Below are 13,133 nucleotides of genomic sequence, written 5' to 3'. Positions count from 1 at the left end.
AAATGACAAGAACTCACAATTGAGTGTACGTAGATACTCACAAAAAGACCAAAAACTAAAGACAAAAGAACAGGAAAACCATCCACCAGAGTCAAAAGCATCCTATATTGATACAAACAGCAAAGAATCATCTTACAATTACATCTGTCTTGTGATTGAGTTTCATGTATCAGATATTCACAAATGACTAGCATTAAAACTCAGCAAGATTTACATTATAATAGAAAAAAAAGCACTACGGTGAACTAAACAAAACTTAGAGACAAAACACAAAAACTACTTAACATAATACTGTAGTAATTTGAGAAAGAAACAATAAAAAGACTACTTTATAGACATTTATTTGATGCCTATGAATTAAACCCTATCCTGCATAATGAGGGAAGATAAAGACATAAGAATAAGGTCAATGACCTCAAATAGTATAAACACTAGCTAAACAGATGAAACAGTTCCACCAAATAAGAATAGACAAAGAAAAATATATTTTCAAGGACAAACAGTTAATTAAAAATGGAATACAAATGAGTAGCATGAGAACAGACAAAATAGATTTACTGGAGTAAGGTACACAGAAAAGGTCCACATATTTTTTGTGTGAAAGCAAAGAAAATAACAAAATGACTTTAAATTATGGAAGATCTCTACTAAAAATACACATCACCTTAGTTTTTCCTTCCTTTTCTTGCTGGTAGACACAAAAATACAATGATCTACCCCATCTCAGGTGTGTGTGTGTGTGTGTGTGTGTGTGTGTGTGTGTAGACAGATACATAGACATATATCTGCCTAACAGTATCTTCAATGCTTTCTAACCCAGCAATAATAATTAGAATCCAAGTTTCAATTATACTTACTCAGCACTTAGGAAAGACCCTGTAAGTGCTCCTCCACGGACTGGGACTCCAGCCTTTTCTGATGGAGACTGTCAACAATCCATCATCCCTGCTAATGGTGGGATGCAGTGTCACAGATAATTTAAACAGCTGTCAGAGCTGAGCAGCTCTTCAGACTTCCATATGGCTCATAAAACGCACATGGGCTCTGTGCCCTTCCCCCTCCCTAGAAAGAGTTGGGAGGAAGGATATGAAGTCAGACAAACTGGGATTCAATCCCAGCTCTATGCTTCAATATCCTCGTGTACAATATGGCTTTCCAATATCCCTTTTGTGTAGCAGAGGGGAGCAAGCACTTGGAAGTACCTAGCACAGCGCCAGATGCAGAAAAGGTATGTAGTAAATGTTGGTAACCATGCCTTTCTTCTCTTCCCTTGAGTTCCTCACCTCTCCCAGCAAGCCGTCTCCCAAATTTCGAGTTCTCCAAAGCAAAAGAGACAAAACTCCACATCAAACTCGGAATACAGAGAACTTACAGATTATCAAACACAGAAATAAGCAGACAGAGATTTTCTGACCTGCTTTCTGGATCGTCTATGGCACACACACCTGCAGGAGCACAGACTAAGCCAGCTGTAGACCCCAAACCTCAGCTGTACTACAGGAGCCATGGGGACTGGTAAGCATCTATGTGCAGAGAAAGCCTGGGTCCTCCAGCCCCAGTTAGGAGGAGCAACAATGTGCCACAGGTAGGGGACAGGTGAGGAGCAGGAGAAGAAGTGAGAGGACGCTCAGAAGCCCGAGCATAATGGCCAGACTTACGAGATGGGAGAAACTGGGCAGGTTACTTAAACTCTCTCACCTCCATCTTCTGAAGTGAGTCTGAACTCACTCTAAGGTCTCTCCCAGTATTTTATGATTTCAATATGATTCTAATGCTACATTGTAAGATTTTAAGATGTCTGTTTTTAGTATTTCTAAAATAGCATCAGAGGATGGGGCATAGTGGCTCACGCCTGTAATCCCAGCACTTTGGGAGCCCGAGTAGGGCGGATCACTTGAGGTCAGGAGTTCGAGACCAGCCTGGCCAATATGGTGAAATCCCATCTCTACTAAAACTACAAAGATTAGCCAGGCATGGTGGCGGGAGCCTGTAGTCCCAGCTACTCGGGAGGCTGATGCAGGAGAATCGCTTGAACCCGGAAGGTAGAGGGTGCAGTGAGCCAAGATCACGCCACTGCACTCCAGCCTGGGCTACAGAGTGAGACTCCGTCTCAAAAAAATAAAATAAAATAAATTTTAAAAAATAAAATAGCATCAGAAATTGCCCTGTGATTAATTCTGTAAGATACCCTATATCTTACAGAATTAGGAATTAATGGGGTTTGGTAAGTTGGTTGGTTGATTTTTGTTTTTAAACCTCACTCCACCCAACACAAAAGTAGCAAATGTGCTTTCTGTAAGACTACATTGAGTCAAAAGCTCAAAAGTGAGAAAAATCAAAATACTGTTAAGGATTATCATTCCCTTCCTGCTCTGTGGACTTACTTTTGCTCAGTGAACTCTCATAGTAAAGAACAGGATAAGAAATGTGGGCCGTACAGTACAAAATGAAATATGACAACGCAAGGGGTGGAGAAAAACAAGGTTTGAACATAAACTGTTTGTAATAAACTGGCCATAAGGAAAGATGAACTCTTTGAAATTGTAGGCTCTATTCAAACACTGTATGTTATTTATTAACTACTCCTTTTTTTCTTTCTATAAAGAAATTCAGTACAGCATCAGCTTTGATATATTTACAATACTTCTCTTGGAGGAAATCCAGAGTCTACATTTGGTCTTAAAAGAAGTTTCTTCCTACATGGAAGCTATCTCAAAAAGCCAAAACACACACTCAGAAAAGCTGAGCCTCTCGTTAACATTTTCCAAGCATACAGTAGCTACGCACCATCTGGCACCCACCAAAACCCCTCCAAAAGTATCAAAAGACTGCCAACGCCTCTCTGCATTTACAAGAATAATTCCTGAAAAAGTGTCTGTTTGCAGAAGAATTTCACTTCCAGTGATATGCTGATCAAAAGTTTACTGTCTCCCCATAAGAGAGTTGACTGGTTTTAGTGACTTGGCCAAATATCAAAATAGCTGTAATTAAATGGAATTGTGAGAGCCAGATGAGGTATAAAAACTGAGGGTGATCCCAAAGGAACTAAAATTATGCTTAGCACATGTTTAAATTATATACCAGTCACAGGGCAAACCATTGTCAGACACTCTGAGGAGAAAAATAGATCAATATGACCGAAGGAAGTGTGCATTGAGACAAGCTGTTTCATTGTTCAGAACTAAGACTGACTGAAGTGATCGTCTAAGTTTTTCAAAATAAATATCTCACACTCAGTTATTTTGCTATGATATGAAAATTGAGAAGCCACAGGATCTCAATACTGTTCATTAGGATTATAAATGGAAACAAACTCATGGAAGGCAGCAGCTATGTAGGTCAGGTCCAAGGGAGAAATTTTCTAATTCAAAAGATAAGCACAGATTAAATGATCGCCTGTCCAAAAGGTCTCCTAACCAGTGTCAATTCCATAACTACCCCTCCACTCCTGAAAGTGAGGAGTTGTAAAGACCCCTAGAGTCTTACAAATTGCATAACCGCCTGAAATATCCTAAGAATCCCTTTGGTTTGGCTTGGTTTTGGTTTTGGTTTTGGTCATTCCATGTTACAGAGGACTCACTCAACATTACCAAGGACTGAAAAGAACAGCTCCTAAATTTAATTTTTTTTTTTTTTGAGACAGAGTTTCACTCTTGTCACCAAGGCTGGAGTGCAATGGCTCGATCTCAGCTCACCACAACCTCCGCCTCCCGGGTTCAAGCGATTCTCCTGCCTCAGCCTCCCGAGTAGCTAGGATTACAGGCGCATGACACCACATTTGGCTAATTTTTGTATTTTTAGTAGAGACAGGTTTCACCATCAGGCCCAGCACTTTGGGAGGCCGAGGCGGGCGGATCACCTGAGGTCAGGAGGTCGAGACCGGCCTGGCCAACATGAGCCACCGCGCCTGGCCTAAATTTAATTTTTGTAAGCTGGGCGCAGTGGCTCATGCCTGTAATCCCAGCACTTTGGGAGGCCGAGGCGGGCGGATCACCTGAGGTTGGGAGGTACCAGCCTGACCAACATGGAGAAACCCCGTCTCTACTAAAAATAGAAAATTAGCCGGGCATGGTGGCGCATGCCTGTAATCCCAGCTACTCGGGAGGCTGAGGCAGGAGAATGGGTTGAACCCAGGAGGCACAGGCTGCAGTGAGCCGAGATCGTGCCATTGCACTCCAGCCTGGGCAACAAGAGCGAAACTCCATCTCAAAAAAATAAATAAATGAAAATTAAAATGGGTTAAATTATTTCAATTCAATTACACATACCAGCTGCACACAAAGATCACAGCCACATCAGTGTTACCCAAACCCTTTACCCCATTTCTTTTCTTACTAGAATTTCCCCAGTTCTACTAGAAATGAGCTGTGGATCTTTTATGAGCTGTTGCTACCATGAAAATCTCAAGCTAATTTATTGCCTACCTATTTATATATCCTAAACATAGCTTCTTATATCAAAAGGCACAACCTCAAAGTCATAAGTCTTCCGCTTAGATTCTTTCCACTCTCTAACAGTCTACAGTTTCAAGAGTATACAGAATCTGGCCAGCCGTGGTGGCTCACGCCTGTAGTGCTAGGACTTCGGGAGGCTGAGGCACACAAATCACTTGAGGCCAGGAATTCAAGACCAAAACCCCATCTCTACTAAAAATACAAAAATTAGCCAGGTGTGGTGGCGGGCGCCTGTAGTCCCAGCTACTCAGGAGACCGAGACACGAGAATGACTTGAACCCAGGAGGTGGAGGTTGCAGTGAGCCGAGATTGCACCACTGCATTCCAGCCTGGGTGACAGAGTGAGACTCAGCCTGGAAAAAGAGAAAAAAAAAAGAGTATACAGAATCAGAGAAAGCTATGGGTGCGAGGGACCTTAGAAATCCTCTCTTCCACTGGATTCACAACTGTATTAGGTCCTTCAGAGGGGCCCAAGGGGCCTTCTGTCCCTTACAACTGCGTAATTAATATAATTTCCATTTCATCCCTTTTGTATATTATATATTTGGGTCTTGGTTTCACGTAAGTCGTAGTTTGGAACAAAGGATTCCTCTGATTTTCAAGAAAATCACTAATACTGCCTGGACCAAGAGGTATATACAAACCCAGACCCTGAGAAGCTGAATGACGTCTACGGATCCACATCTCCACTCAGTATAGACCAACACTGAGCCTCCAGAACACAGTCTCTCCAAATGCGGCCCCAGATCAGCCACAGTGGCAGCATCACCTAGAAACATCATAGAGATGCAAATTATCAGGCCGAACTCAGATCTTCTGAGTCAGGGCCAGGCATGGTGGCTCACACCTGTAATCCTAGAACTTTGGGAGGCCAAGCCAGGCAGACCACCTGAGTTCAGGAGTTCAAGACCAGACTGGGCAACATGGTGAAGCTCTATCTCTACTAAAAATACAAAACCTAGCCAGGCATGGTGGCTCACGGCTGTAGTCTCAGCTACTCAGAAGGCTGAGGTGCAAGAATCGCCCGAACCCTGGAGGTGGAGGCTGCAGTGAGCCAAGATTGTACCACTACACTCCAGCCTCGGTGACAGAGCGAGACCCTGCCTCAAAAAAAAAAAAAAAAAAAAAAAAAAAAGATCTTCTGAGTCAGAAACAGAGGACAGGACCCAGAGATTTATGCGTTAGCAAGCCCTCCAGGTGATTCTGATGCCCTGAAGTTTGAGAACCTCTGTTCTGGAACAATACCTAATGTGCTTTCCATTATGCTCTTCCTCTCCTATTTCAATCCTACAACTCCAAGGCAGTACATGCTAAGCAACTGCCCCAAAACACTGAACCTAACTACAGATTCACCCACTGAAAACACAAACACATCACAGTAAGGTTTCCAAACACTGCTACAGTACAGTCAGCGCATTTTTCTTTTCTCACAATACAAACATCCACATCCAAAAGGGTCAAATAAAAGTTTGAGTTTCAAGGAATAATTCAAGAGAGTGGAATATACGTACATTCCAGACACTGAGCCTCAGAAGAACTGAGTGATGCTGAGAAATTTACTTCCAGCTTCTCTGGGCACACTGCCTGCGGGGTAGCCCTGCTCTGCAAGGAGCAGGTTAAAAAAAAAAAAATTATTTCCAGAAAAGGAAGGTCCCTTAGACTATCAGTGACCACCAGTGAGTACCAAAGAGACAAAACTTGGCAATATTACTAAATGGAGACAGCTCCTTCCAGGAAAACCTGGTTCAGAGACCTGGAAATGAGTAGGAAAGTGACTGTGTTTCACCCCTAGCCTGAGGCAATTGATTTCTCTGTGCCTTATATTTCTTGAGGTTTGAGGTATATGTTCGTCATGTGCACAGGTGATTTTGCTGACTTTCTGCGTAATATATACATAAGAGGCACTATCCGGACTAACCACTAACTGTAAGCCACATCTCAGTGTCATGCTATTTTAGCAAATTTTAAGAATGCCAAATGAGAAATTACAACAAACACAGTTTTCAAGTGTGTCATATTATCATCTATCACACACAGAAATATAAATGTACTTTTATATCTTGAAATTATTCAAGAATTTTCAATGCACTCTATAAATGTTTAGAGATTTTCCTTTAGACAATGGAAAAAGCCATATGATGTATTATTTAAGGTCGACAATTACATATGTACGTGTCCACATATTTCGGAACAACCCACTTGTTGGTTTGCCGAAAATTCCAACTGTTGGCTGCCAACTCTGTACACTCCACGCCTTAGTGAATTTTCTAATGTGATTTATCAAGCTATCAAAATTTAGCTTCAGTGACAGACAGCTTTTCAGAAAATGCCACGCTGCAGTGACATTCTCTTCTCGACACACACCAAGACTCCTGCAATGGCAACCATCCGACGGGCTCAATTTCCTCACACGTTTAGACTAATGGCCAGGGTGAAACTGATGACAGTCTGACTTAGTGACATCCCCAGATTTTTTAAGACAGGTCATTTTAAAATTCCAATTACATGGTAAACTGAAATAGAACTAAGCAAAGTCCTGCCTGTTGGTATCCCTCAGGAAATGGCCTTTATTGAAGAGACAGAAATGCTTTCTCACTAATATTCATTACAAAATGATGTTTTTAAGTAACCTGACATTTTACCTAATCGTTTTCACTGTCAGTATGCTTATAACTAATATATTCAACAAACCTCTTCTTTAGAAACCAGATGTTTTCCTTAAAAATTTCCTTAAGAATGGCGTGAACCCGGGAGGCGGAGCTTGCAGTGAGCCGAGATTGTGCCACTGTACTCCAGCCTGGGCGACAGAGCGAGACTCCCTCTCAAAAAAAAAAAAAGAAAGAAAGAAAGAAAAAGAAAAATGGTTCCTGTCAAACCATGGATCACCCTGAAATAAGAAAACCTGTGCTGCATTTATATGTGACTGGCCTACAAATCTCTTGCCCATCTCTGGCAAGTTAACTAACATGGTTAGATCCTCACAATCCTATGCAAGCCTATGCAAAGGGGCATCATGCAGGGAAAAGAGACGGGAAGAGAGACCTTGACTCCACTCCCCCACACCCTCCACACACTGAATGCCCTACAAGCGCAAGTCTTACTTTATTTAGGGCAGTTTCTCAAAGTACGATCAAAAAGCCAGTAGCAGACCAGCCGCAGTGGCTTACACCTGTAATCCTAGTAGACCAGCCTGAGCAACATGGCAAGACCCTTTCTCCACAAAAAATACAAAAATTGGCCGGGCACAGTGGCTCATGCCTGTAATCCCAACACTTTGGGAGGCCAAGGCAAGTGGATCACTTGAGGTCAAGAGTTTGAGGCCAGCCTGGCCAACATGGTGAAACCTCATCTCTACTAAAAATACAAAAAAATTAGCTGGGTGTGGTGGTGGGCACTTGTAATCCCAGCTACTCAGGAGGCTGAGGCAGGAGAATCGCTTGAACCCGGGAGGTGGAGGTTGTGGTGAGCCGAGATCACGCCACTGCACTCCAGCCTGGGCAACAGAGTAACACTGTGTCTTTTTTTTTTCTTTTTTTTTTTTTTTGGTGGGGGGAGGTGGGGGAGACAGTCTCTAAAAATGTCGCCCAGGCTGATGTGCAATGGCACAATCTCAGCTCACTGCAACCTCCGCCTCCAGGGTTCAAGAGATTCTCCCACCTCAGCCTCCTGTGTATTTGGGATTACAGGCATGCGCCACCACACCCGGTAATTTTTGTATTTTGAGTAGAGACAGGGTTTCACCATGTTGGCTAGGCTGGTCTCGAACTCCTGACCTTGTGATCCACCCACCTCAGCCTCCCAAAGTGCTAGGATTACAGGCATGAGCCACCATGCCCGATCGAGACTCCGATTTGAAAAAAAAAAGTGCCTTGAGCCCTGGGTGTTACTGCAGCTCTGCCACAGGACTTATGTCCTCTGCTGCCCTGATTATAAACATCTTCTTTACTTGTTTGTCCCTACCACTAGAGTGTGGGCAGCATTAGAGTGTATCTGGTTCCCCACTGACCTCAACGTCAGGGACTTGGTAGGCACTCGGTCACTGATCACCAGCTCTGCCGTGGGTCGGCCTCCCATCTGTAAAACTAATCAGGCAGCACTGCCTCCAGGACCCCGGGGGGCTACACGTGGGAGCCTCCCTGCCCTCTACTCCTCGAGGCTCGAGGACCCAGAGGCAGGCGGCTCGATCCAAGAACTAGTCAGTCAGTGGCTCCTCCTTACCCACCCTTTTCTCCAGTGACTTTTTCAAATGATTCAAATTCCTTGAAAGTAAAGAATCTGGCCAGGTGCAGTGGCTCACGCCTGTGATGCCAGCACTTTGGGATGCCGAGGCAGGCAGATCACCTGAGGTCGGGAGTTCAAGACCAGCCTGACCAACATGGTGAAACCCCATTTCTACTAAAAATAGAAAAATTAGCTGGGCGTGGTGGCAGGCGCCTGCAATCCCTCAGGAGGCTGAGGCAGGAGAATCACTTGAACTCGGGAGGCAGAGGTTGCAGTGAGCCGAGATTACACCATTGCACTCCAGCCTAGGCAACAAGAGCAAAACTCCATCTCAAAAAAAAAAAAAAAAGTAAAGAATTCTCACAGTGCCAGGTGAGGTGGCTCACCCCTGTAATCCCAGCACTTTGAGAGGCCAAGGTGGGTGGATCACTTGAGGTCAGAAGTTCAAGACCAGCCTGGCCAACATGGTGAAACCCCGTCTCTAGTAAAAATACAAAAATTAGCCAGGCATGGTGGTGCACACCTGTAGTCCTAGCTACTCAGGAGGCTGAGGCAAGAGGATTGCTTTAACCTAGGAGGTGGAGGTTGCAGTGAGCCGAGATCGTGCCACTGTACTCCAGCCTGGGCAATAGAGCTAGACTCCATCTCAAAAATAAAAAATAAAAAACAAAAACAAAAACAAAAAACTCTCTCAGGGTCTCTCCAAGATTCCTGGCCCTCTGGCATAGCCTGTACTCAGGATGCCTGGCCTGCTTCCAGACGGAATTCCTCATTTTTATTGTGGAAAGACAGGCAGGCCTCCAGGGTGGAGGTGAAAGGGGAAATGAGGGACAAGCTGCTGATGAGCTACTCCTCCCTCCTCAGGCTGCCAGGCTAATTGGAGAGAGCCTTGCCTTGGGCAACCTGACCTCCATTACCATCCTCCAAGCCTTCTACTCTGGTGCAACTGACCATCCACTGGCTCATCATGGGTTACTCCATGACTGCCTTCTGCCTCTTCACATGGGGCAAATGGCTTAAGGTAAGTGAAGGCCTGCCTGGGAAGCTGAGAGGGACTCACTGCAAACTCTGGCAGTGAGGGATGCTCCAGACTGTGTGCCCACCTCAGCGACCTCTCCCCACTCTATAAATCCATCTTGGGCACATCTTCTTTTGGAGCCTACTATATTTACAAAGCAATGGTACCAAAGAAAGAGGAGTTAAAGGTGATGCAATAGTCTATTCGCCTGGTAAGTAAATGTCCTACAGCTAAGCTCAAAATACCAGGTTACATAACAGAGTAACAGACTTGGAAAAAAAGATGGTATTAAGAGGCCGGGCGCAGTGGCTCATGCCTATAATCCCAGCACTTTGGGAGACCGAGGCGGGCAGATCACAAGGTCAGGAGATTGAGGCCATCCTCGCTAACACGGTGAAACCCCGTCTCTACTAAAAGTACAAAAAATGAGCTGGGCGTAGTGGCGGGCGCCTGTAACAAGTCCCAGCTACTCGGGAGGCTGAGGCAGGAGAATCGCGTGAACCCAGGAGGTGGGGGTTGCAGTGAGCCAAGATCATGTCACTGCACTCCAGCCTGGGTGACAGAGCAAGACTCCATCTAAAACAAACAAAAACAGAAAGATGGTATTGGAAATTTGGGGTGAACTCCAAGGATTAGCCTGGCTACTACATACAGAGTATGGGCCTTGACTACTCTGACTTACTGAGGCACACTAGGAAGACTCTGGAAAGACTACAGACCAGGAGCTAGAAGTGACTCTGACCAGCCTTCCAATCAAACATCTTGTCTTGCAGGTAGCCTACAGCAGGACTGGTGCAGAAATTACTCATCACAGCTAGGCACGGTGGCTCATGCCTGTAATCCCAGTACTTTCGGAGGCCGAGGCAGGCAGATCACCTGAGGTCAGGAGTTCAGGACAGCCTGGCCAACAGGGCAAAACCCCATCTCTACTAAAAATACAAAAAGCAAAGGCACTGATAAAAGTCACATAAGTGCAAAACATCTCACACAACAGACTCAACAGAATGCACTTTTCTGGGGGGAGTTGGGAGAGATGGAGTCTCGCTCCGTCAATCTTGGCTCACTGCAACCTCCATCTCCCAGGTTCAGGTGATTCTCCCTGCCTCAGCCTCCTGAGTAGCTGGGAGTACAGGCAGCTGCCACTACACCCAGCTAATTTTTGTATTTTTAGTATAGACAGGGTTTCACCATGTTGGCCTCCTCCCTGCCCCACCGTGGCAGCTGCGGTGGTAGCAGCACATACACAATCACAGTAAATTGGCAGAGGAAACACACAACCGATTCCTGGCTAGAGGGGGAGAGATAAGGCAGTGTGCATGGGGGAGCCGAGAGGGGAGATGTGGGCCCCTCTGCTCCTCCCACAAGAGTGTCCCCTTTGGCCCCGGTGGAGACTTGGCCCACAGCTGAGGCACAGCTGGGAGCGTCGAGTCTTCCACCTCTCTGACTTTTCTGTTCTCTGGGGCCAGGGAGGCTGTGAAAATGGGGACAAGTAATTTCTTTTCTTTTTTGAGACAGAGTCTCACTCTGTTGCCTAGGCTGAAGTGCAGTGGTGTGATCTCGGCTCACTGCAACCTCTGCCTCCCGGGTTCAAGTAATTCTTGTGCCTCAGCCTCTTGGGTAGCTTGGATTACAGGCGTGCACCACTACACCTGGCTCCCTCAAATGTTTAGGTGACCTGCCAAATGGGTAAAAGGTATATTCCACAACAGAATCTAGAGCTGTTAATATCCAATACAATAACCTTGCCACAATTCCACGCTTCGGAAAAAAACGGATCAACCTTTATGTATTTTAACTTTCAGCACTTTGTTATTGATAAAGTCCATTTAGAGAGTCAAATATTTGGCAAAGGGTCTCTCAATCTCATAATCATATTATAATACTTTTAAAAACAATTTCAATGAACACTTCACACATTCTGTCAACCACCATTTAAGAGTGTTCACTAAAGCACCAGGCTGGATATAAAAGTGGTACAAAAATAAAACAAGCATGGCTGGGCTCAGTGGCTCACACCTATAATCCCAACACTTTGGGAGGCCAAGGAGGGCAGATCACCTGAGGTCAAGAGTTCGAGACTAGCCTGGTCAACATGGTGAAACCCTGTCTCTACTAAAAAAAAAACACACACACACAAAACTTAGCTGGATGTGGTGGTGGGTGCCTGTAATCCCAACTACTTGGGAAGCTAAGCCAGGAGAACTGCTCGAACCCTGGAGGCAGAGTTCGCAGTGAGCTGAGATCATACCACTGCACTCCAGCCTGAGCAACAGAACGAAACTCCGTGTCAAAAATAAATAAATAAATAAATAAAACAAGCAAAGCACTCCCTGTGTGATGGAGAAGTCATCAAGAATTAAATATTATATGATGAATGCAACAATTGATATAGACACAAGTACCTAAGAAGCAACTCAGATGGAAGGCTTTTCTGGGTCTCCGTGGATGACTGGGGGTTAACCAGACAGGGAATAATGCAAGGAAAAAAATGACAGAAAGAAATAGAAAACACTTAGTGAACTTTCTCATTTCGTCAGGCCAGGTTCTAAGCATATTATGCTAATTTTATTTTATTTTGAGACGAGGTCTTGCTCTGTCACCCAGGCTGGAGTACAGTGGCGTGATCATGGCTCACTGTTGCCTCGACCTCCTGGGTTCAAACAATCCTCCCATCTCAGCCTCCTTAGTAGCTGGGACTACAGGCATATGCCACTATGCCCAGCTAATTTTTGTATTTTTTTTACAGAGACAGGGTCTTACTATGTTGCCTAGGCTGGTCTCAAATACTTGGCCTCAAGTGATCATCCCGCCTCAGCCGACCAAAGTGCTGGGATTATGGGCGTGAGCCACTACACCCAGCTGTATTATGTTAATTCATTAATTTCTCAATCCTCAAAACAATATTCTAAGAAGGCGCTGCTGTCATCCTTCTTTTAGAGATGAAAATCTTAAGGCACAGAATGCTCTTTACTAGACAACAACAATATAATTTTTTTGAATTTTAAAATAACACAAAATATTGCACTAAAATTCATCACTATATTTTAAAAGCAATGAGAATCCTTCACTTTCACCAGCATAAGGAAAGATTTGCAAGCTTATTTATTAAGCCATTTCCCAAACTACTGACAAAAGAAGCTTCAAAATTCGAGTTTTACATACTGTTCCCAATGCAAAGAAATCACTTAGTAATGGGAACTCATGAAGAACTATGTCCAAAAGGCACATTCAGAAACCTAACCATGAATTTAAAAGAAAGCTTGTAATCCAACACCATGAAAACACAATGAACACTGTAGTCCAGATTCTGTTACTCAATCTACAAACCTCATAAATGAAAACAAAGCAGACCAATTTCCAGCTCGATGGAATGCCTGGAGAGGAGTGGGCCAGGGCCCAGGCCATGTAACATCCAGGAGAGGAAATACATTATACGCTTC

At 44.4% G+C, this 13,133-nt stretch overlaps 1 protein-coding gene and 1 pseudogene across 2 annotated transcripts in view; one reads left to right on the top strand and one right to left on the bottom strand.

Moving 5' to 3' along the window:
• TIAM2 (TIAM Rac1 associated GEF 2) overlaps positions 1-13,133 on the bottom strand; it is a 262,409-nt gene that overhangs the window by 243,043 nt on the left and 6,233 nt on the right. The window contains exon 1 of one of the 2 annotated variants that reach the window (NM_001384546.1): positions 858-917. The exons of the other annotated variant lie outside the window; for it this stretch is intronic. The gene's annotated coding sequence lies outside the window, so the exon portion shown is untranslated. Of the gene's footprint in view, positions 1-857; positions 918-13,133 lie in introns of those variants that run through there. 2 annotated transcript variants of the gene reach the window in all.
• On the top strand, positions 9,353-9,889 carry LOC100421330 (lysophosphatidylcholine acyltransferase 3 pseudogene; annotated as a pseudogene).

This window comes from Homo sapiens, chromosome 6, assembly GCF_000001405.40.
Source record: "Homo sapiens chromosome 6, GRCh38.p14 Primary Assembly".
In the NCBI taxonomy this organism is placed as follows: domain Eukaryota; kingdom Metazoa; phylum Chordata; class Mammalia; order Primates; family Hominidae; genus Homo; species Homo sapiens.
The sequence above is the reverse complement of the archived record's forward strand: the minus strand, read 5'-3'. Positions and strand labels throughout refer to the sequence as shown.